Source organism: Homo sapiens, chromosome 7 (assembly GCF_000001405.40).
Source record: "Homo sapiens chromosome 7, GRCh38.p14 Primary Assembly".
Classification (NCBI taxonomy): Eukaryota; Metazoa; Chordata; class Mammalia; order Primates; family Hominidae; genus Homo; species Homo sapiens.
Genome location: NC_000007.14, coordinates 157,598,936 through 157,622,107, shown reverse-complemented (window position 1 = coordinate 157,622,107; position 23,172 = coordinate 157,598,936). Strand labels below are relative to the sequence as shown.

Genomic DNA, 23,172 nt, shown 5'->3' with positions numbered 1-23,172 from the left:
GGAAGGGAATTTTCAGGAGGCCTTTGTTTCCTTGTCTACTCATAGTAATGCTCAACGACAAGCACCAGAAAAATTAAGATCGAAACAGCCAAGGGTTAAAATATTTGCTTCCATCCATTTGTGTTTGTTTCATGCTAGAAGCTGTCCCGCATTTTGCACAGATCAGAGCAGCCCAGTCTCTCAACTGCATCACACCCAGTGGGTTCAGAAACGTGCGCCGGTTTTAAGAAAAATGACTTCCATGCAAGCAGAAATGGGCACGCGGAGCAGCCCCACCGAGAGCTTGGTCTGAGCTCCCTGGCCCTGTCGTTAAAGCATGTGATAATTGTTGTCATCTCAGCGGTAAACTGATTCCCAAACACCGGAGTTTATATTTACATATGTAAAATGTGTGTTAACAATGCACATATTTCACTTAACGGTTGCATGGTATGATATGCATTGTGCACCGTAGCACAACGTCGCACCATGGCCCAGGCTCGTGAGCAAGGTGGGCATGGCCCACGCGGCGAGTGCAAAGGCCTCCGCTGCCTTTTGTGCATCTGCCGGTCTGGGCTCACCACCTAGGTGCGCTCCTGACCCTGTGTTTCCCTTTCAGTCCTACATGGAGGACCACCTGAAGAACAAGAACCGGCTGGAGAAGGAGTGGGAAGCGCTGTGCGCCTACCAGGCGGAGCCCAACAGCTCGTTCGTGGCCCAGAGGGAGGAGAACGTGCCCAAGAACCGCTCCCTGGCCGTGCTGACCTGTACGTACCAGCCCCGGGGGCAGGAAGCCTGGGTTACGGGCGGTGGAAACTGGCCGTGCTGACCTGTACATACCAGGCCCGAGGGCAGGAGGCCAGGGTTCCGGGCGGAGGAAACTGGCCGTGCTGACCTGTGTGTACCAGCCCCGGGGACGGGAGGCCTGGGTTACAGGCAGTGGAAACTAGCCGTGCTGACCTGTACATACCAGCACCGGGGGCGGGAGGACTGGGTTACAGGAGGGGGAAACTGGCCGTGCTGACCTGTACATACCAGCCCCGGGGGCAGGTGGCCAGGGTGACAGGAGGGGGAAACTGGCCATGCTGACCTGTACATACCAGTCCCGGGGGCAGGAGGCCTGGGTTACAGGCGGGGGAAACTGGCCATGCTGACCTGTACATACCAGTCCCGGGGGCAGGAGGCCTGGGTTACAGGCGGGGGAAACTGGCCATGCTGACCTGTGTGTACCAGTCCCCGGGGAGGGAGGCCTGGGTTACAGGCGGGGGAAACAGCCCCATCCTGAGGGTCTGCAAAGCCCTCCGCTTCTCCTTCCCGGCACCCCCCGCCTGCAGCAGACTTGCCCCCTCTGGGAAGGCCCTCCTGGGAATCTCCCCTCTGCGATGCCATCCCCAGCCCAACCAACAAGGAACCAGTGTCTTCCTTTCCTCCAGCACGGGCCTGGGGACATCTGCACCCCAGTGAGCATCAGCTCTATTGTTCTCTGTCACCGAGTGACTTGAGACATGTTCCTGAACCTCTTGGAGCCTCCACGTCACATCTGTAATTGGGGTCACGCTGTCGTCCTTGAAGTATTACTGCTGTAAGGGTTAGACGAGGTCATTAGCATAGCACCGGTACGTCGCAGGCACACAATCAACAGTGGTTGCTTTTACAGCATCTTTAACTTTACAATTATTTCCACAAACTGAGCACCTACTACCTAGCTAGGGATCACTGCCAGAAAATGGAAATATAAGCCAGCAGTTCTCCGAGTGACTCTCGTGGACTGGAAGAGACACCGCCTCGTGTTCCCACAGCACGGGAGGCACTAAGCTGCTTACAAGATGAGGAGGGCAAGGACTGCCCGGCGCTGGCGTCCACCTCACTCATCCTCTATGTGTATAGCAGGTTCCAATGAAGGTTCCACACTTTGATTGGTTATAAACCCACCCGCCAGGAGGAAGGGGGTCCTAGATATGTTCCTGACCAGAGTTTCAGGGGGAAGTAGATACTCACAACGTTGAGTGATGAATGATAAATGACAGTGTGGGTAGAGTTTCTTAGTTACTCTCCTGAGGACCCTAAGACAAGGCCCTTGCGCATGTCTCTGATGCAACAGAGGGAGCTTCGTCAGCTCACACTTCGAGAGCACCACTCGGCCACACTCACTTTCAGCTCAGCATCAGGCGGGACCAGTGTCCCCTGTGGCCGAGGCCGTCTCTCCGTCACTGTGTCCCTGCCTCAACCCTTCGGAGCCGGTCAAGGGATCAGACTGGTGTCCCTGAGACACCGCCTGTCCCCGTACCAGCAGCACAGCCCCCCACGCCAGGGAGAGGCACTGCCCTTGCCCTCCTTCCAGCCCTCAGGAAGTGTTACAGGTCAGAACAGTGAGAAGCTGGAATCTTGTTTTGCTTCAGAAACTAACCTGGGGCACTGCAGACCTGTGTAAAATCCCATTCACCCAGCTGGGTGCACGCTTCTTGCTACCCATTTAGTGTTCAGACCAGTTTCTATGAGGTCTGAGGGTTTTAACCCTAAAGAGATCTAAAAACAGAAGCTGTGTGATTTATAAATTTTATATTTAGAAGAAAAGCAAAATACAATACATCCCATTAGCCAACTAACAGATATTTACTAAGCACCGGCCCTGTGTCGGGGGCTACTAACAGGCTCTGGGGGCCTGGCCACTGTCCTCAGAGAGGAGCAGCCTGGGGGAGGAGAGGGCGGGGAGTGAAGCCGGTGTGGTAGGACAAGTGAGGGTGGTGGTGAGCGGGTATCCTGCTGAGTCCTGAGTGGAGAATGGTTCGTGGTAAATAGCCATGCAGTAAGCGTGCATTATATGTCTCTGTGTGTCTGGTCATTTACTTAGATTGTGAGGTGTTTCATGGTAAATATTCATCTGACAGCACGCCCTCCCCAAAGACAGCCCGGAGCGTGGCAGAAACGACCTGCCGATGGGGTTTTCCTCCCGTGTGCCCTGCAGCCTTCTGGGCTCTGTCTGTACAGTGTGGATGGGGGGGTTGGGGGCGAGGGACCTAGTGATGGTGAAGTGGTCCGTGCTCAGATGGGACACAGGCAGCCTCCCCAGGTAGCAGCCGGTGCCAACAGGGTGGCCACATGTGGATGGGCGCCTGATGTTCTCATGGGGATCAGGACAGCCCTGCCCATTCTGAGCCAGGTGACGGGTGAGGGGGAAAGCACCTCCCTCCCGAGACTCGCACTGGAGCCAGAAAGAAGCTGCCTGCACCTCCTCCCAGGGTTCTCCCGACCCATGTGCCAGGGTGTGAAGACACAGCACTGCCCTTCAGGGTTGAGAGGCCACCAGGGAAGACAGAGAACGGCAAGTTCACCTCCTGGGAGAACCCTAGATAGAAATATTTTCATGAACACATAGGTTTATTCTGAGCAAACTTGTATTACCTACTTTCTTCTCCATACTCTTGGCCATCTTGCTTTTGGGAAGGAGATCTTGTCCTCCGGGAGACAGTGGCTTGGCAAAAGCTCTCGCTGTTGCCAGGCCCCAGAGAGATGGCCGCCTCCTCCATCTTCACTCCTGCCTCACCTGCGGCCGCTGCGCTCTTCACAGGACACAACTGGCTCCAAAACAGCCACACACGGTCCAGGAGGACTGGCTTCCCTGTGGCTCTGTGGCTTGGAAGGCCCATGCTGCGCTGTCATGGTGGGGGGACGGCACTCGAGCTGGGCTCCATGCTGTCCTCTGTGTCGCGATGGAAGCGAGTCTGCATGCTGGGCATGCACTATCCTCTGTGCAGGGTTGGAAGCATGAGTACTCGGCCACGCTGTCCTCTGTTAGGGATGGAACCTTCAAGTCCTCCCTCTGCACCTGCCGCTCCCACCGCGTCCTTTCCGCGTGCTCACCGGGAACTCCCAGGTCTATGGAAAGGGTCCTCGGGACCACCCCTCCCTTCTCTCATGCCCCGCCTTCCCCATGGAGCACTTCCCTGGGTCATTCTTCCACCCAGGAGATGGACACAGTCGCCCGACTTCCCAGATGCACCCTGATCGGAATGAGCCCCCAAAGGAGAAGGAAACACACATTATGCAATGCTTGGCTGGCACCATGCTAGGTCTAGTTGTATTATCTCAGAAGTTTAAAGAACTTAACATGCATTTTCTGTTTTTTGAATGTTTAAAAAAGAATTATGCAGCATTTCGCTTGTCTGCATTTCAGATGAAGAACAGGGATATGATACTATTTTGGTGCCATATCCTAAACAAAAAAGTATTTTTGGCTCTATGTTGTAATAACGAGAGAGAGAGAGAGAACCAGGACAAACAATGCAGAGAGACAAGACAGAGACAACGAAGAGCTGAAGGCTCAGGGACAGGAAGACAGCAAGGAGGAGAGTCATGTGGGGTTCACATCTCCCAGCTTCTGAGGGCATTGCTGCTGGAGGACCACAGCTGCCTCACAGCCAGAGGCGCGGCTGTGGGCATCTCCCAGGCCCTTGCCTTGCAGCGTGGTCCAGTGAGGCAGAGGCCCAGCTGATCACCGTTCCCAGGAGTCAGGGTCACCACACTGGCCCTGCGCTGCAGCTGCTTGAGCAGCATCCTAACCATGGCATCACTGGGGCATCGTGAGCCAGCATCCCCCGTGCTCTGCGCTGCAGCTGCGTGAACAGCGTCCTAACCACAGCATCACTGGGGCATCGTGAGCCAGCGTCGCCCGTGCTCTGCGCTGCAGCTGCGTGAACGGCGTCCTAACCACGGCATCACTGGGGCATCGTGAGCCAGCGTCGCCCGTGCTCTGCGCTGCAGCTGCGTGAACGGCGTCCTAACCACGGCATCACTGGGGCATCGTGAGCCAGCGTCCCCCGTGCTCTGCGCTGCAGCTGCGTGAACGGCGTCCTAACCACGGCATCACTGGGGCATCGTGAGCCAGCGTCCCCCGTGCTCTGCGCTGCAGCTGCGTGAGCAGTGTCCTAACCACGGCATCACTGGGGCATCGTGAGCCAGCGTCCCCCATGCCCGTGGATGTGCCACCTCTGGTCCTCACAAGAAACCCCCCCACTTGGCCGACAAGAACTTTGGGGTTTAGAGCCCGCCCGTCAGAGCTGAAATCCAGACTCCCCAGTGCCATCCTCATAGGCTGTCTTGGGCTCACCTGAGATTGTGCGTGTGTGTTGGGAAAATCCATGTCCATTTCAAACTTCTACAGAAGTATTTGAAACATGTACAAGGGCTGAAGCACTTTGGCTAAGCATAGCTTTCCTTAGAATACTCAGAAAACAATTTATTTCTAAATAAACCTTTGGTTTAGTTTTTTTTTTTTTCTCTCCCAAAACTCTAAACAGAGTCCCCTAAGAGGAATATTTTGCCTTGGTTACTTCTGAGTGACCAAAAGTTATCATGATTTGCTTTTAAAGATGAATACGTGGGTGATTCTCCTAACTCTGATGATTAAGCCAGGGTTTTCTTTTTCCTTCCATAGAAAAAGGTTCTGGGCATATATGTCACCTCGCCAAGAAAGTTGCTGGAGAGAGACTCCCAGCCTGGCTGCCTTCCCTTCACCCCTTTTGATCTCAGTGCCAGCCGACTCTGCCCTAGGATTTGGGAAGGCTGTCGGTTTGTTGGTGTTGGAAAGAAAATATCCCAGCAAATTCTGTGTGGGCCTTTTTCTTTGCTACCTCACAGGCAGAAGCTGTTCTGGGCAGCTGTTCTGCCAGAGACTGAGGATTCTTTTTTAGGAAGAGATCTACAGAGTCCTTCTCATTAGGCTACTTCTCGAAGGGAAAGATTGTCTAAAAGCATCATCTCTGAACTACAACTGCAAGTGCACCTTCCGTGAGCTCTTCAGGACCTCCAGTGCAAAGAAACAGTGCCGGTGGGGTTGTCAGGAGCCACGTTGATACTCCACACAGTTCAGCTGCTCAAAGTTCAGATTTTAGATCCTCTTTGCTCTCTTTCTTAAAACTGAACCGATAGGTTGGTAAGATGTCTGGCCTGGTGTGGCATGGCTACCCGTCCTTCTCACATCCTCCTTCCGATTCCGCTTACAGAATCTTCGTGTGGGGAGGGTCTCACAGTGTGGGGCGAGCCTGGCCTTCGGGGTGGCAGCAGCCGGGCTCACCGTCTCCTGGGCGCCCTGTTTCCCGTGACTTGGAAGACCTACCCTCCAGAGGGGCCCCAGGCCACGGTGTGCTTCTTCCTGGATCAGGCCTCCCACTTTATCCACCAGAAGTTACGTTCATCCTGCCAGGTGCACATCTCAGCGCCGGCTGATTCTGAGGCCGAACCCACTAACATCCAGAGTCTTTTCCTTAAGGTCTTCGGTGGAGCCCAGGGCCTCGCGCACCCCCCACCCCCCGTTGGTGACAGTCAAGTTTAACAGGAGAATCGAGCCTTGTGTTCATCTCCTGTAACCGATTCTCGTTCAGCCTCCAGAGCTTGTGGTTCCTGAGTCACTGCGTCACCTCCCTCTCAGCTCGGCACCATCTGCTCGTTTTATAAACATGTTTTTCACGTCGTCAAGTCATTGATAAAAACACATTCCGCAGGACCAGTGCTGAGCCAATCCTCCCCCGTGACGCGGATCCACCGCGGGACTTCCCAGGCGCTGGTTCCAGGGCTGAGATTGTTTCCACGGCCCGGCCTTGCGATGGGGTCACCCCAGCCGTCCCCAGGTCCCGAGCATATTGGCAAAGGCTCATCAGATGTTTCCACGTGAGGCTCGGGGCTAAACACCTCCTTTTCATCCTCGAAACAGCCCTGAGATTCACACAGGGACAGAGCTGGGGCTGAAGGAGGTTAGGGAGCCCAAGGTCAGCGGCTCCCCGGAGAGTGCAGCCTACACTACCCCAGCGCAGACCCAGCCGCAACCCACGCACACCGCTCTTGCAGGGCCCTCTCTGGAGCAGAAGTGTGGCTGGCTTAGCATGACTTCCTCCCCCACTTTTTATTACAAGAGTTTTAAACACTCAAGTGGAAGGGGTAGCGTGGCATCGCCTGCACACCCACCACCCACGCTGGCCAGCCGCCCAGTGTTGGCCGTATTAGCGTGACCTGCGAGCACTTCATTTATTTTCTGGCTGGACGACTTCAAGTAAGTATCAGGCGTCATGACGTCCAAATACTTTAGCCTGCCTGCAGGTCCTAAATACAAGGGCCTTCTCCTAGGTAGCTGCAGCCCCGTTATAACTAAGAAAATTAACAACAATCCCTCAGTGCCCTCTAACACCCAGCTGTGCCCATCTGCCCAGGCTTTGGAGACAGCAGATGAGCAGGTGAAACCACAGAATTGCATTTCCCCATAGTCCTGGAGGCCGGAGGCTGCGGTCCAGGATGTGGCAGGGCTGGCCGTGTCCGAGGCCCTCCCTGGGGCTTGCAGGTGCTGTCTGTAACTAAGGGTCCCCTTTGTTTAAGGACAGCAGACCCACTGCACTAGGCCCCCCCTCAGGACCTCACCTTCACTTACTGGCCTCTCTAGAGGCCCTGTCTCCAAACATGGCCACACTCCGCAGTCCTGGGGGTTGGGGTCGTCACACAGGGGCATCAGGGCACAGCTCAGCCCACAGCGCCATTGCTATCACACACTCCCAGGGACTCCCGCCGCTTTCTCTACAACACGGTCTGTTATCTGTTGTCTGTTTTGTTTTTTCCACCAGGATGCAGTCAAGATTCATCATTGCATTTTGGGTTTTGTGTCTCTTTCGTCTTTTTAATTTTGAAACAGCTGTCCCTGACTTTTTTTCCTGATATGAATGGTACCTAATAAAGCTGTTCTTTTAGTGACCACTTTCCCATTCCAAACAATCACAGACTCTCCATGTGGAAGTCTGTAGGGAACTCTGCAAGCCCACGAGAAGCTCACCTGCCCCCTTCCAGAACCCCCGTTTCCCAAGAACCCGGAGTGTACAGGTCTCCACGATGCTGTAGGAACATGACCAGCCTGCTCTGCGACCTTGCCACGGGCCACAGACTTCAAACCCTGCCTTGGCCCTGAGCTCCACCCTGGCCCTCCCCTGTCCTCCCCCTTCCTCCCCTGTCTTCCCCCTCCTCTCCGTCCTCCTTTTTCCTCCTCCCACCTCTTTCATGGTTCCCTGTGTTCTGATTGGCCGGTTGAGCAGTCCTGCTGCAGAACGATGCTTTCCAAGGCATCCCGTTGCTTGTGGTCTTCCACCAGCAAGAATGTGGAGGCCAGCCCTGTGAGCTCACAGAGTCACAGTTGTGACGGGAGGGTCGCCCCTGGCCATGTGGCCTGTAAGGGGCTCGAGGAGTCCGGATAGCAGCGCCGAGGTCTGCTCGTGGTGAGAGACCCCGAGTCCCGGCACACTGTGGGGGGGCCGCAGGACGGCGGCCCGGGGTGCCCTCGGGACCCCTGCGCTCCGAGACTCGAGGACTACGCGACAAACGGCAGTTCAGGCTGCCGCGGGTGCAGGTTTGCTCATCCACGGCCGCCGGGTTAGGGAGACGATTCTGGCACGTTCCAGGCAGGCCGGTGTCGGGAGAGGGTCCCTGCGTGTGGGAGACGGAGGCGGCGGGGTCGGCTGGAGAACCGGGGAAGGAACGCGGCGGCCTCCTCCCGCGGGAAGAGGCCCAAGCCGGGCTCGCCCTGCGGCTCAGCGAGGAGCCCGCCCTGCCGGCTTCTGAGGACGCGCCCCGGACCCTGCTCTCCTGGGCCTGAGGTGACACGTTCTGTCGATTGAGGCCCCGAGGTTTGCGGAAGTCTCTGGCCGCAGCCGCGGGAGGCGCAACACGCTGAGGCTGCGCGACGTGGGGCCCGCCCGGACCCGCCTCCGCCCGTGTCTCCCCGCAGCCGTCTCTGCCAGAACTATCGGAAGAGACCGGAACTGTTGGTTTTGTGTCTGTGAGAAGAGCAGCACTGGGAATAAGTCACCTGCTGAGCTGACAGCGGAAACGAAGGACAAGCGGAGTCGCCTAGCGCCGTCGCTGCTTAGCCCAGAAAACGGCCTCGTCAGCGCCCTCGACCTGTTTGCGGACCGCTTCAGGAGCTGAAGGAACCACCGAGGTTCTGCGGCTGAGGCGGGAGGCGGGACTGGAGACGGGGCCGGGCCTGTCCCTCCGGATGCGGGGGGCGCTGCCCTGTTCAGCCGCAGGGCTCTCCCTGCCTCCTCCTCCGGCCACCCAGGCCGGAAGCACCCCGGCCCCTCCTCAGGGACTCTCCCTGTCAGTGAGATCAACCCTCCGGAGCTGCTGTGTCTTCACGGAGCCGCAGACCCGGGCGGGGAGGCGGGGCCTTCGGCTGCCGTGGGGTGTGGGGGGCCCTGCCCTGGCCGGGGTGTGCCGCCGGAGCTGCTCCCACCCGCTTCCCCGCTTCACCCCAGCGCCTCTGTGGATGCCCTTTGACCGCGACCCCTCCCGTGCGGCGGAAGTGAGTTGCTCCCGCGAGCTGTTTGGGCGTTTTCCACACCTGCCCATCAGTTACGCCTCTAGGGAGCTAATGTGTAGGTTCCCGCCGAATTTCCTCCCTTACTTTTCCAGACGCGCCTGCTTGGCACAGTCTGCCCTGCGCCCCGTGCTGTGGGGTCAGAGGTCACTGCCTTCTGCGGCTCCCCTGGCAGCCCCAAGACCGTCGGTCACAGGTGCAGCTTCTGCCCCCGATCCACAAAACGGGCGTTAATCTCAGGCAGCACAGCCACAAGCCAGAGCTGTTCTTCTGGTGATACCCTGTGTCCTGGTGATAAGGCGTGTGAGCTGCCCCCTGCTCCTAGTTTCAGCTCCTTGGAGGCGCCCCCCAGCCGTTTGTGTCTCTGTCTTGCCGCCGCCACACTCATCTGCGCTGCTCGCACAGACGAGATTCGTCATCAGTGTCGATGGACGGCCTCTCGGTGGAGCCGTGCAGACAGCGTGGCCCTGCCTGTCTGATATCTGTGCTCCTGTTACAGCAAACTGTTCTAGTTCCTGCGAGAAAGTCGCCACCAGCGCACACAGCCACGCCTCGCTGTGTGTCTGGAGCTGGTCTCTGGGTTGCCCACACTCCACAACTGCAGGCTGGCTCCAGGCGGCGCTTTCTCCGTGCAGGCACCAGGTGCTGCTCAGGGCATGGGAAGCCAAACCCAGGTCGCTCCAGGTGCTCTGGGCCTGGAGGGCTGCAGGGACAGAGCGCCAGGGATGGGCAGTGTATGTGGCCAAAGCAGGCTGTCTCCCATTCCGGAGGCCAGAAATGGAGGTCAGGGTGTCAGCAGGGCTGGCTTCTCTGGAGGCCTCGCTCCTCAGCACGACCACGGCTGTCTTCGTCTTCACACGGGCGCTCTCCCTCCGCGTGTCCCCAGCATGACTGCGGCTGTCTTCGTCTTCACACGGGCGCTCTCCCTCCGCGTGTCCCCAGCATGACTGCGGCTGTCTTCGTCTTCACACGGGCGCTCTCCCTCCGCGTGTCCCCAGCATGACTGCGGCTGTCTTCGTCTTCACACGGGCGCGCTCCCTCCGCGTGTCCCCAGCATGACCGCGGCTGTCTTCGTCTTCACACGGGCGCTCTCCCTCCCGTGTGGGTGTGCAGAGTCCTTCTTCCTAACAGCACGCCAGTCATATTGCATTAGGGCCGCCCAAATGCCCTCCGCTCGCTTACCTCTGTAAAGACCCTATTTCCAAATAAGGTCATGTTCCCAGGGCTGGGACTCCAGTGTGTCTTTTTGGGGGAGGGTACGCAGCTCAACCCTGGGACCTGGTGCCTCCAAGTCAGCTCAGTGACTGGGCGGGCGCTGCCTGGCCACGGCAACCCCCACACACCTTTGGCGTCTGTTCCCCCTGCATTCTGCCCCCGCATAGCCCTGCCTGGGGAGTTCCTTCTACACAGATGCCTGAGATGAGACTAGTGTGGGTTAAAATCGCTTCAGGTATGGGAATCCCCCAGGGCTTGAGGCTCCTTCTAGTCCACCTGCCCCAGGTCACCTGCCCAACATGCTTCCGATCCCATTGGGGGGCGACTTTCTGAGAGATCTGTCTGTGGGGGATGCCAGTGAAACCATTTAAGACATGAGACACTAAACCAGCCTTGTGACCATGCCATTTGGGGCCACTGTTGCTCCTCTGGGACCTGCTTTTGACGCGTCCAGTGTGGAAGCCGGACACCAGCCTCGCGCTCGGTTATTCAGCTCAGCGGTGGGCAGCGTGCCTCCTGAGTGGTGGGTGGGGCAGGTCTCATTTTCATGACCATCTCTGGATGTAGCAGGGCTTTCTGGATATGAGCCCCAGCCTGTCCCAGTCTGCCCAGATGCAGCATTGTATGCTGAGCTGCGGAGGCCCTGAATGACACTCAGCTGACTTTCCTAAATGTTCGATGAGCTTTATAGCTTGAGCTGAGCATTTCCCAAAGGCATAGTTGGAAGCAGAATGTCTGCCTGCTGACTAAGGACAGGAGCGTGTGGGAGGAAGAGGACCTGCCCCTTCAGAATGCGTTCTGTCATCACGCTGTTGCTGGTCTTCAAGTGCCCAGGTCTGCAAAGAATCAAGCCCATGTAGCTTCTCAGAGTATTGAAACAAACGTGGTCCGATCATTTATTCCTTTGCCTCAACTATGACAAGTTCAAAGGCCTTTCTGTGTGTGAGCCGCTGGGATCCCTAAGCAGCACTGACGGCCCTTGCTGACGGCCAGCAGCCCCGGGATGTGCCTTTGCAGCCCTCAGACCTCGATGGACACCATAAACTCGGAGCAGGAGCTTGTGGGTGCTGGTGCCAACTGTGGAGCACATCCCGGAACATGTTCTCTGCTGGAGTCAGGACTCCCTCTAGGAGCAAGACACCGGCTCCACCTCTCCACAGGCCACACCATCAACATGAAGAAGAGGGCCTCCTGCCAGCATAAATGACTGAGCCTAAACCTTCACAGAAAGCAGAGGCAGTTGGAGAGCCCGAGAGAACACCTGAGACCCCTGAGTGGAAGGAACCCCATTGCCGAGTTCCGTGAGGCCCCTGGGAGGAGGGAACCCCATTGCCAAGTTCCGTGAGGCCCCTGGACTCAGCAGTGGCTTCACAGATGGCCTCACGCATCCTCCAAACAGCAGCACCGTGGAGCCCATGTGCTGGTGGGAGGCAGATTCTTGGCCCTGCAGAGCAGCTTCCTGAGTGTGGACAGCAAGCCAGGAGGCCTGGGGGAATGCCGTCCTCAGGGATCTGTGTAGCAAGACGATGTTCCGGGCAGAGGAGTCTTCCACACGCTTTCCTCAGATGCAGTGGGGTGGGCACGGGAGGTTCTAGATCATGATTAATGACTATACCGCCGCGTCCTCTAGCATGCTTAGCTGGGCCATCTCCCAAGGCTCTTTGCCATAGTAATAATCAACAAGAAATTGTGGGATGTGTCTCTTCTGTTGGCATCTATGAAAAATCGCTCCATATGTTCTGCCACCACGGGGCAGCAAGAACACGCTTTGCCAGCTTGGCTGACCTGCGCAGTTGGGTGCGTGTCCACCGTCATCTCAGCCTTGCTCCTCATTGCTTGCTGCGTGCCATTTACCACAACAGTGCTGTGAGTTGTATGTTATCATCCTGCATTCTCCGAACACTGAACAGTTTACCCAGGATCGCCCGCTGGCAAGCAGTGGGGCTGGGAGTCAAACCCTGTGCTCCCCTGTGGACCACGAGGCCGTGGCCACGTGAATCGTTCCATCCTTATGAGTCTTAGTTTCTTCAGCCTAAAACGGGAAAGTAGTCCCTGTTCTGTCCGTGGTCCAGGATGGCCACTGGGTCCAGGATGAGAGAAGAGGATCTAATCCGTGAAAATATGGAACATCTGAGAAATTTGAAATACTCTTTTTTTTTATATTTAAAAAAAAATTTTTTTGAGACAGAGTTTCACTCTTGTTGTCCAGGCTGGAGTGCAATGGCACAGTCTCAGCTCACTGCAACCTCTGCCTCCCGGGTTCAAGCAATTCTCCTGCCTCAGCCTCCCAAGTAGCTGGGATTACAGCCGCCCACCACCACGCCTGGCTAATTTTTGTATTTTTAGTAGAGACGTGGTTTTGCCACTTTGGCCAGACTGGTCTCGAACTCCTGACCTCAGGTGATCCACCCACCTCAGCCTCCCAAAGTACTGGGATTATAGGTGTGAGCCACCGCGGCCGGCCTGAAATATTGTTGAACAAGGCACTAACGCATGATAAACACAGTAAAGGGTCAGAAAAGGAACGTGCACAGTGGGTTAATTTAACCCAATGACATTAACTCAGTTATAGGGCCAGGTGAAGGAAGACTCTACGTGAGTTCCCACATTTTCCTGGCCTCTCAGTAAATTCTCAGACTACGGTTTTGATAGAGCACACCCGTTCTTAATGGAAACATGAGCCCCAGGCTGTTATGAATTCTCACCCTGTGGTTCCCGCCATTGCTCTGTGTTGCCTCCCCAGGGAGGTCTGATATTTCATTTGACAACAGAAGGGAGCAGCCTTCAGTTCCCCGAGCACAGGCCAGGGCTGATTGCGCGTGGGCCTGCCCTGGCTTCATCTCCAGCCTGGGGTTGGCCTTGAGAGGCCCCAGGCCACCTGCTTCCCTTCACTTCATAGAACACGAAGACCCCTCCACAGGCCTCGCACGTCAAGGAAACTGCCCTTTAGGGGACTCGGGAACTGGATGGCATCATCCTATTTGCTCTCAAAACATCTCATAAAAAGTAAGAGAATCACAAAATAGAGATTCGCCAGGCACATGAACTCTCCGCACGAGGAACGGTTGCCGCCCCCTGCAGGAATCAGAGTCCGCCCTCCTCCACAGCCTGCAGCGTCCCTTGGCCCTCCCAGGATGGCTCCAAGCATTTCCCGGAGGTTCCAAATGACCCCATATTACAAACACAATGATTTTGCTGGCCAGGCACAGTGGCTCATGCCTGTAATCCCAGCACTTTGGGAGGCCGAGGCAGGTGGATCATCTGAGGTCAGGAGTTTGAGACCACCCTGGCCAACATGGTGAAGCCCTGTCTCTACTAAAAATACAAAAATTAGCCATGTGCAGTGGTGCGTGCCTGTAGTCCCAGCTACTCGGGAGGCTGAGGCAGGAGAATCACTTGAACCCGAGAGGTGGAGGTTGCAGTGATCCAATATTGTGCCACTGCACTTGAGCTTGGGTGACGGAGCAAGACCCTGTCTCTTTAAAAAAAAGACTTCGCTGGTAATTTCAAAAGCAATATGTTGACACAAAATCAAATATGCGATCAGGAAGTAGGAGCTCTCCGAAGTCATGGAAGCCGGGTCCTTGACTCAGTGCCATCTTTAAAGGGTGACCTCGGGGGAAATGAATTCGGCTAAAACAATTTTCCACCAAGAAGCCCATGGATTGTCCACTTGCCAGCAGGGCTCAGGTGCCCATGGCAGATTCCCCCTCTGCCATCGAGAGGAGAGGGCCGGGCTCGTAGAATGCATGTCTAACTCCCCAGGACTCCCGAGCTAGGGAAGCATTTTCTTAATTTTCCAATGAGAAAATCCAGCTGGCACTTGTCTGCTGAGTCCAATGGCAGTGGCCACTTTCCCCGTGGCCTGTTGCTCACAGGGCCTGGCAGCAGGGACCCCTCAGCTGAGGAGGAGCTCCCAGCACGCTGCCCTGATGCCTCCTCTGCCCTCCGTAGAGGCCAGGCCACTGGTCTCAGGGTGCCGTGGGCACCATCAAAGCACGAGACCAAGCCAGGTCAAAAGCCTGAGGGCTCCAGGCTGCGCTGCCTGTTCCCTGCCCTGCTCCCTCCTGACCCTGCTCTTGGTAATGCCTTCTCAGACACGTAAGAACGGTCCGCAGTTGCTGGTCTCACAAGTGCCTAAAGGTGGCTGTGCTGAAAATGAGGCAGGGCCCTAGAGGCCCCTGGAAGCAGCCAGAAGCCCCTGCTTTTATTCCCACGCTCTGTGTGGGCTGCAGCACCGGGCCCAGCCCAGCACCTCTGACCACAGCCTCATCTCTGGCTGCGGTGTCTGTGTGGCCCCACTGTGAAACTGGGTTTCTGGAATCAATGTTTGGAGTAGTGTGTGTGGGGTGTTCAGATGTCAGAGTCAACCAGTTTTTTTCTGATGATTTGTATTACAATTTCCTGCCACTGCCAATTTTCACTCTCCAAGAACTAATTTGTGCAGGAGCTAAAAGCCATTGAGTCCCTGGGATTTTTGCATCATTCACACCTTCGTTCAGAGCTGATGGGATGACTTGCAGCTTCATGACATTCCTGAGGCATTCAGCTGCATAGAGCATGTGCGTATGTACACATGCATTCTTCTCCTCTCTCTAGATGTTTTATCTTATCCCATCTTGTCACCCCTGAAAGAGGCTGACATTCCTACCTGAAGGAAGGTGTCAGGACAGCATCCAACCTGGAGTGTATTGATCTCTAGTGCACAGTACTTTCCTAGTTCAATCAGTTAAAACACTCACTAAGTTTTCCAAGCCCTAGGATTTGTTGTTTTAAAAACTGTAAGTAAAATCTCCAAGAAAAATGAAAGAATTGCGTAGAGAAGCAGAGTCCGTGCAGCTTCACCACCACCACACTGCTCCATGATTGGGGCCACTTCCTTCTGGTGCCAGCGCCCACAGGAGGTGCGCAGCGAGTTTGGAGTTTGGCCACAGGTCCAGAGGGGACCCACGGCCACCAAGCACTGGCCTCCGAGGGCTCCAGCGAGGGTGCTTTTGTTTTCTCAGAAAAGATGGAAATTGGTGTTGTGTGCAGCACCAAGAGGTTTTCCCTGGGACAAACGGCAGCAGAGCCGAGATGTTGTTGCTTCCAGATTTCAGCCAGGGATGGCAGTGACAGGCCCTCTGGAGTGGCCACTACCATCACACCAGCTGCAGCAGGGAGGCGTAACCTGGGCATCCTGTTCCACGCGGCAGGCAGGACCCCACCCCCACCCCCACGCTGGGGAGGAGCTACAGCTGCCCAAACCGTAGCTGCAGACCCAGGCAGCCCTGCACACTTAGGCACCCAGGAAGAAGATCCTTGCCCCTGCAGGAAGTGCCTGTTCCTGCTACCTGGATTCTCCCTGCTGTTGGCACCCATGCTGATCTTGGAGCAAAGTCAGGGCTGAGCCCGGGCGCTGTCACAGCCCAGCAGGTGTGACACTCTGGGCAGTGCTGACACACCAGCCCCCTGCCACCTCAGCCCCCTCTGGACTTTGGGCACCAACAAGCATGGGAGGGAAGCCGAAGGAGGGCTGAGGGCAGCTCAGCTCTGGCCTGCAGGTGCCCCTTGGCACAAACAGCCTGGGTGCCATGAATGGCAGCAGGAGACAGAGATTCCTGGGCAAAAGGGGGCAGGTCCTCCATGAAGCACCACCTTCAGGCCAGGGAGGGTTTGAAGGCTGGGGGCTGGGCTGCAAGTCCTGTGGATCAGAGTGGGAACTCATGGTGCCTTTTCCAGGCCTGCCCACGGCCACTCGTGGGCCAATCAGCATGTACTTCCTCCCCTCTGAGGCCCATAAATGCCCCAGGCATAGCCAGAGCTGGGCAGACATGGGGATGACCAGCTGCAGAGAGGAGCTACCCACTCCAGAGCCTCCCCTTTGCTAGGAGCTGAACACTCATCGGGACCCCCTGGCTGCAGAAAGGAGCTGCCCCCTGTGGGAGACTGAGCTGTTCTATTGCTCGATAAACCCCTCTTCATCTTGCTCATCCTCCACTTGTCTCCATACCTCATTCTTCCTGGTCGCAGAACAAGAACTCAGGACCTGTCGAATGGTGGGGCTAGAAGAGCTGTAGCACAAACAGGGCTGAGACATGCCCCCTGCTCGCCACACTGTGGGTGAAGAGAAGGAGAGAACAGCTGTAGCCCTTCAGGGAGCCCAGACCTGGGAGCTCCCGGAGCTAGGCCTGTGACTCCATCTTTGGGACCCTGTGGTTCCTGGTATCTCCAAACTTCCAGGAGCTACCATGTTCCTCAGTGTCAACCATGGAAGCTGCTTGCAGTGTGTCTGGTCTGGCCGCAGCCTCACAGAGAGCCCGCACCCATGCTGGCACCTGGAGCTGCCCACCCTGCTGCAGCACCCAGCGTGCCTGACTGGTGTGGCCAGACCCCGTGCTCCTCACACACCCCTCGCCACTCCATGCCTGACTCGCCCTTGGCAGGCATGGGACCCAGGCTGGTAGTGTGAGCCAAACGTGGCCTGCCAGGCCCAGCCTGAGCAAAACTTGGGCAAAGGCGCCACCGGCCACAGAGATTTCTGGCCAGAAAAACACCACCCCAAAGATCCTGTAACACAAAGCGCACCTTGCAGAGAGAAGGAAGCGGCCACACACCAGGGAGTTGGGAGGTGCAGGAGGGGCTCTTGCGGCTTCCACTCCTCTGTGAGCTCTGCTTGTCGAAGTTTCTAAAAACAGAGCAAAGAGGAGGGCGGCCACAGCAAGCAGGATGGGGGTTATCCCAGAACCAAAGCCAAGACAGCTCTCATATCACACACGTCACAAGTGCCTACTGTCCCCCCGCTGCGCCCGGCTTCAGCAGCCGTCAGGTTACTCTGTCTGTCCGAGCGAGTTTTTATGCCAGTCTCCACCAGTACATTTTTCCTCCATTTCCTCTTTATCTGCATTTTATTTGTCTCTTACTCTCCTTTTAAAACTAAATTCCAGTAATCTTGAGGACTTAACTGTTCATTGACTATGAAACTTTCTATTTTGAAACGCGGGCGATTGCTTAACGTTCATATTTCTGTTTACCTGCTGTGTGTTGCCAAGTGTGTCTGTGATTTAAAGGCCAGCATGGTATAAAATTCTGCAGAGGAACCCCTGACCTTGGTGTGTGAACTCCACGTGGGGGAAAACACCAGGATATCTCCATTCTGCTGAGCGGGAGCTTTGTGCCAGTTCCCCACATGCCGTTCGTCTGCCTCCCACCTGGAGGATCACAAACGGAGGGGAGGATGGGAGCAGGAACATTGGAAACCACATTCAGAAGGGTGTGAGCAGAGTCCTGGGAGAGGATGCGGGTGGGCCCTGGAGCCCGGGCAGGGGTCCCACACTGCTGGGCTATAGGCCCTGGAGGCTGTTTGGGAGTCCCACACTGCTGTGTGATGGACCCTGGAGGCTGGGCAGGGGTCCTGTGCTGCTGGGTGGGGGGCCCTGGAGGCCAAGTGGGGGTCTCACACTGCTGGGTGGGCCAATGTTCCTCTGACCCCTGCACTGTGTCCTTGCAGATGACCACTCCCGGGTCCTGCTGAAGGCGGAGAACAGCCACAGCCACTCAGACTACATCAACGCTAGCCCCATCGTAAGTGCACTGCCGGGACAGGGGCCCCAGGCTTTCCCTTGGGTGGCACGGACGCGGCAAATCACGTGGGAAGGTTCTCGGGGGAAATCACGTCCCCACCCAGCTCAGCGTCTCTGCGGTGGACAGGGCCGACTCTGCCCATTGGGCTCCCGCCACTCCCCTGTTCCTTCACCAGCGGGGCTGTTTATGAGCCGTGTGGGTCCCGGCTCACGCTGGGCGGTGGGTTCCGTGACTTGTAGAACATCCAGCAATGGTGACTGGACAGTTTCCTGACTAGAAGACATGGCTTTTAGGAGAGGTTCGTAGTGGGTGCCGTTCCTCTTTCCTGGAGCTACACATTCCCTGTATATTCATGGGGCATGGGGACATGAGGCCTCAGTCTACGCTTTTTGTAACAATCAGTGGCTTGGAGGCAGGTCCAGAATTTCAGGTTCGTTTTCCTGAAGTATTTCCAGTGAATGGGACCCTGTTTCTTATGAAAGAGACCGTTTGCTGGCTGTTCCTCCCCCTGGGATAGACGCAGGTGCAGTGGAGATCGGGCTGTCCTGTGTTTCTGGGGACGAGTGTGGTGGCAGCTCCTGTGCCGTGAGTTATGAGTCCCTGTGGCCTGTGGTCCCTCACTTCCCAGGGGCTCCTCTCAGCCCATGCTAGACGCGGCTCTCACCCTATTTAACTCTGGGCATCCCCCTTCCCTGTCATGACCTGTCGGGGGAGCAGGGCTGAATGGGGAGGTTTGCAGCCCTCCCAGAGTGAGCAGAGGAGGGAGAGATATGAGCATGGAGAGGGCTGAAGCCACAGGCTGGGGACACTCGGACTGGGTGTTCAGATGAGCAGTGATGGTGGCAGGTGGCGGGGGCGGGATGGGACACTGTCCAGGGCCGGGGCTTTGGAGACCTGGCGGATGGCACTTTAAACCAGTGGTGGAGAGGCTGGGGCTCCATGCAGATTTATGGCGGACACTGGTTGTCATGTTTCCCCCTTTAAACAGCTCTTCTCAATTCTGGTCTTCAGGGAAGGATGAGGACATCTCACTAAAATTCCAAATTTGCCTTTAATCAAACATGGTGCCTGCAGGATGCAATGCTGTTCTAGGGCTGAGTGAGACGGGGCAGGTGATCGAGGCACAAATCGCACCCTACGGTGTCCCAAAGTTTCTTTGCTCGTCCATAGGGAGCTTTGGATGAAAGTATTGGCCCAACTGCCTGCAGGCCACGGCCACTGATGGCGGACAGTGCTCAGCTCTCGGCTCTGCTGATCTCAGCAGCCACTGATGGTGGAGGGTGCTCAGCTCTCGGCTCTGCTGGTCTCAGCGGCCACTGATGACGGACGGTGCTCAGCTCTCAGCTCTGCTGGTCTCAGTGGCCACTGATGGCAGATGGCGCTCAGCTCTCAGCTCTGCTGGTCTCAGCGGTCACTGATGGTGGAGGGTGCTCAGCTCTCAGCTCTGCTGGTCTCAGTGGCCACTGATGGCAGACAGTGCTCAGCTCTCGGCTCTGCTGGTCTCGGCGGCCACTGATGGCAGACGGTGCTCAGCTCTCGGCTCTGCTGGTCTCAGCGGCCACTGATGGCGGACGGTGCTCAGCTCTCGGCTCTGCTGGTCTCAGCGGCCACTGATGGTGGAGGGTGCTCAGCTCTCGGCTCTGCTGGTCTCAGCACACCTGTGGGATAAAGCACGCTGGGAAGATGTCCACATGCCTGAGCCAGTCCCGTTTTCCCGCAATTCGTGGCCCACACAGTGAGCATGTTCAGCTTTGAGAGACTGAATTCAAAGTGAAGAACTGGCCTAGTGTACTTGGTCTACACCACCTGAACCCAGGTTTCTGTTTATGTGTTCATTCTTAAGAAGGAATCACTTCCTTCCTTCCAGCAGAGGTTGACTCCCAAGCTTGGTTCCGTGTGGGTTTCAAAGATCCTCATTCATCTTCCTTAATAAGATGTGATGCACATAGTATTTTTCTGTCATCAATTCTAATTCAAAAACATCAAACCAAAGCCTCGCTGATGTGCCAGCCTCTCACTTGATGAACAGAACGTGCGTTCTGGTAAAGCCAGGTGTGCGCGCCTGGATTCCGTTCCTGTACTATGTGCAGCAGAGTTGGCAACACGAAACCGTCCGAAGGAAAAGAAAAGCCATGTTGAGGTCCCTTTTCCCTGAGATGAACCATTTGATGAAGCCAGAATGAGGAATAAAGCCGTGATTCACAAGCCTAAAAGACGAGAGTTCAGCGTTGCAGCTGGGCCCACTCTCCCCCACTCGATGGGTTCCAACTTGCAGATGTCTGCGCTATTCCAGGCCACAGCCAAGCCCCAGCGTGGGCAGCAGTGCCCAGTGCAGCAACTGTGTCGAGCTGGAAACGGTGGACAGCTTTCATCCCATGTGGGAACCAGAGGGGGTGTGTGTTTGGGGGATGAATTCCTGCACATTCATGCAACTCCCTCTCCAGGCCTTACTGGGCAGGAGCTTGGGTGAGAAGGCAAGGCCAGGAGGGAGAAGTAATTTTATGGTACATTTTGTGTCTTTCCTTTATTTCATACCACAATTCTTTTTTTTTTCCAAATTTGGGTTGTAAGAATGAAGCAGAAGAAATCGATGGTGCCTCTTCTTTATGAAATAGCTGAAGGTACAATGATAATTACCTTCCTAGCAGCAGCTGAATGAAAAGCTCACAATTACAGCAAAGGAAGGCCCTGGCTGTGCAGGATAAAACTATGATAATTACATCTGTCATATTTGTACTTAGTCCTCATTACATTTCAGGGAAGGCATCCAGTGGTAAATAATGTGCAATCTTTGCTTTTAAATCAGAGGTCATGAAAGTCAATGGGAATTCTGTTTTCCCTCGTAGGTTGTCTGAGAGAGAAACCCATGAGCTACATTTAAAACAGCCTGATTATTACTGAGGACACCAAGTTGAGGAATGGTGTTCACGCAACAGCCCACTCAAACACAGCACACAAGCTTTATTACCAGGACAACTCTGAAACTCCCAGTGACGTGTAAAAACTAGCTTAATTCTTCATTTCACTGTCTATTAAGGGAGAAAAAAACATCATTTAAAGTTTTAATTCAGAATGCATTTAACTATGTAGGGACAGAGTGGCTTTTCAGAAAAAGAAGAGAGGTTGGATGTTCTGACTAGCATAAGAAATTGGCCAAATATGGGAATCACTTCAGTTATTTACAACCAAAATTCTGTGTATAATAATGGTTTATATTCAGTATTTTACTTAAGTAAATCTCAACTCCTAAGAATACGATATAAAAATATTTCAAGTTCAAAAGTCAATCTGCTGACTGGGTGCAGTGGCTCATGCCTGTAATCCCAGCACTTTGGGAGGCCAAGGCAGGCGAATCACTTGAGTTCAGAAGTTTAAGACCAGCCTGGCCAATATGGTGAAACCCCATCTCTACTAAAAACACAGAAACTAGCCAGGCATGGTGGTGCATACCTGTAATCCCAGCTGAGGCAGAAGAAACATTTGAACCCAGGAGGGAGAGGTTGCAGTGAGCCGAGATCATGCCACCACACTCCAGCCTGGGGTAAAGAACAAGACCCTGTCTCAAAAAAAACAAGTCAATCTCCCATTGATTACTGAAGCTACAATTTCCCAATAAATTCCCATATTAAGCCTTAGTATTTGGAAAAGAGACTTGAGAAGTCAAATGGTGGTTTTCAAGAAAGCGTTTCATGCAATTTGCTTTAAATGTTAGGAAAGGCAGGTGGAGATGTGGGCAGGTGGAGATGTGGGCAGGTGGAGAGGTAGGCAGGTGGAGAGGTGGGCAGGTGGAGAGGTGGGCAGGTGGAGAGGTGGGCAGGTGGAGAGGTGGGCAGGTGGAGAGGTAGGCAGGTGGAGATGTGGGCAGGTGGAGAGGTGGGCAGGTGGAGAGGTGGGCAGGTGGAGAGGGGCAGGTGGAGATGTGGGCAGGTGGAGAGGTAGGCAGGTGGAGAGGTGGGCAGGTGGAGAGGTGGGCAGGTGGAGAGGTGGGCAGGTGGAGAGGTGGGCAGGTGGAGAGGTGGGCAGGTGGAGAGGTAGGCAGGTGGAGATGTGGGCAGGTGGAGAGGTGGGCAGGTGGAGAGGTGGGCAGGTGGAGAGGGGCAGGTGGAGAGGTGGGCAGGTGGAGAGGTGGGCAGGTGGAGAGGTGGGCAGGTGGAGAGGTGGGCAGGTAGAAATACCTACAGATGAGGTGTGTGCTTATTCTCTGTGCAAGATTTCAGAGTAAAGACGTGACACCCATGCCCTTCCCCAAAGCTGGCCAGATCCTCTTAAGATGTTAAGGTCACAGCTGCCAGAGGCCGGGGCTGGTTTGGGAGCAGAAACTGGCGTTCCCTTCACCTGCCCCGCAGTGGGTGCCTCTGCCACCATGGAGGCTGTTGAGGACTGCAGGACACAGTCCAGTGGTCCTGACATGCTGAGTGCTTCATTTCTAAAATGAGCTTTGTTTGGAATATTGGGGAAATTGTGGCTAAGTTTTTCATGCAGATTAGGGTTTCTAAAGATACTTGTTTAGTAATTATCCTCTGATAGCATAAGGCACATCACTAGGCCATCTTTACACTGTGTATTCAGAGAGACAGAGGAACACACCTCACTAGCATCCTAGTTCATATGACATCTTCATAAGAATCAGTCAACCAAGGGATAACAGAGTCAACACAGACAAATGGGCTTTATTTTTATTTTAAAAAAGTAAGCCAGGCGCAGTGGCTTATGCCTGTAATCCCAGCACTTTGGGAGGCCAAAGCAGGCAGATTGCCTGAGGTCAGGAGTTCGAGACCAGCCTGGCCAATATGGTGAAACCCCATCTCTACTAAAAATACAAAAAGTAGCTGGGTGTGGTGGCACACGCCTGTAATCCCAGCCACTCTGGAGGCTGAGGCAGGAGAATCGCTTGAACCCAGGAGGCAGAGGTTGCAGTGAGCCAAGATTGCACCACTGCACTCCAGCATGGATGACAGGGTGAGGCTCCATCTCAAAAAAAAAAAAAAGTAAAAACAGAATTATACTGTTAATTGTACTTGCCTTCTGGCTGTTGATTTTCATGAAGTCACTTGGAGTGAGTCACA

General features: G+C 55.3%; 1 protein-coding gene and 2 long non-coding RNA genes across 13 annotated transcripts in view, besides 1 other annotated feature; 2 read left to right on the top strand and 1 right to left on the bottom strand.

The window, feature by feature from the left end:
• PTPRN2 (protein tyrosine phosphatase receptor type N2) overlaps positions 1-23,172 on the top strand; it is a 1,048,768-nt gene that overhangs the window by 965,716 nt on the left and 59,880 nt on the right. For all 10 annotated transcript variants that reach the window (XM_047420678.1, NM_130842.4, XM_047420679.1 and 7 more), the window contains 2 exons: positions 599-746; positions 18,033-18,106. In XM_047420678.1, coding sequence (XP_047276634.1) covers positions 599-746; positions 18,033-18,106 — 222 coding nt within the window. The remainder of the gene's footprint in view (positions 1-598; positions 747-18,032; positions 18,107-23,172) is intronic.
• On the bottom strand, positions 3,337-8,169 carry LOC105375614 (uncharacterized). Of its 2 annotated transcripts, none has more exons than XR_928275.2 (2): positions 8,007-8,169; positions 3,337-6,719 (listed from the first exon to the last, which is right to left on the bottom strand). It is a non-coding gene; the product is annotated as an uncharacterized LOC105375614 (long non-coding RNA). The 2 variants fall into 2 exon arrangements; XR_007060624.1 differs by having other exon boundaries at positions 3,337-3,768.
• Positions 4,054-4,563: an enhancer, noted in NCBI's record as "H3K27ac-H3K4me1 hESC enhancer chr7:157410237-157410746 (GRCh37/hg19 assembly coordinates)". NCBI's record gives its function as "activates a minimal SCP1, AML or CMV promoter by ChIP-STARR-seq in naive H9 embryonic stem cells {active_cell/tissue: H9 hESC(naive)}" and the evidence as "EXISTENCE:reporter gene assay evidence [ECO:0000049][PMID:30033119]".
• On the top strand, positions 8,962-12,233 carry LOC105375615 (uncharacterized). Its single transcript, XR_928276.3, has 2 exons — positions 8,962-9,970; positions 10,215-12,233. It is a non-coding gene; the product is annotated as an uncharacterized LOC105375615 (long non-coding RNA).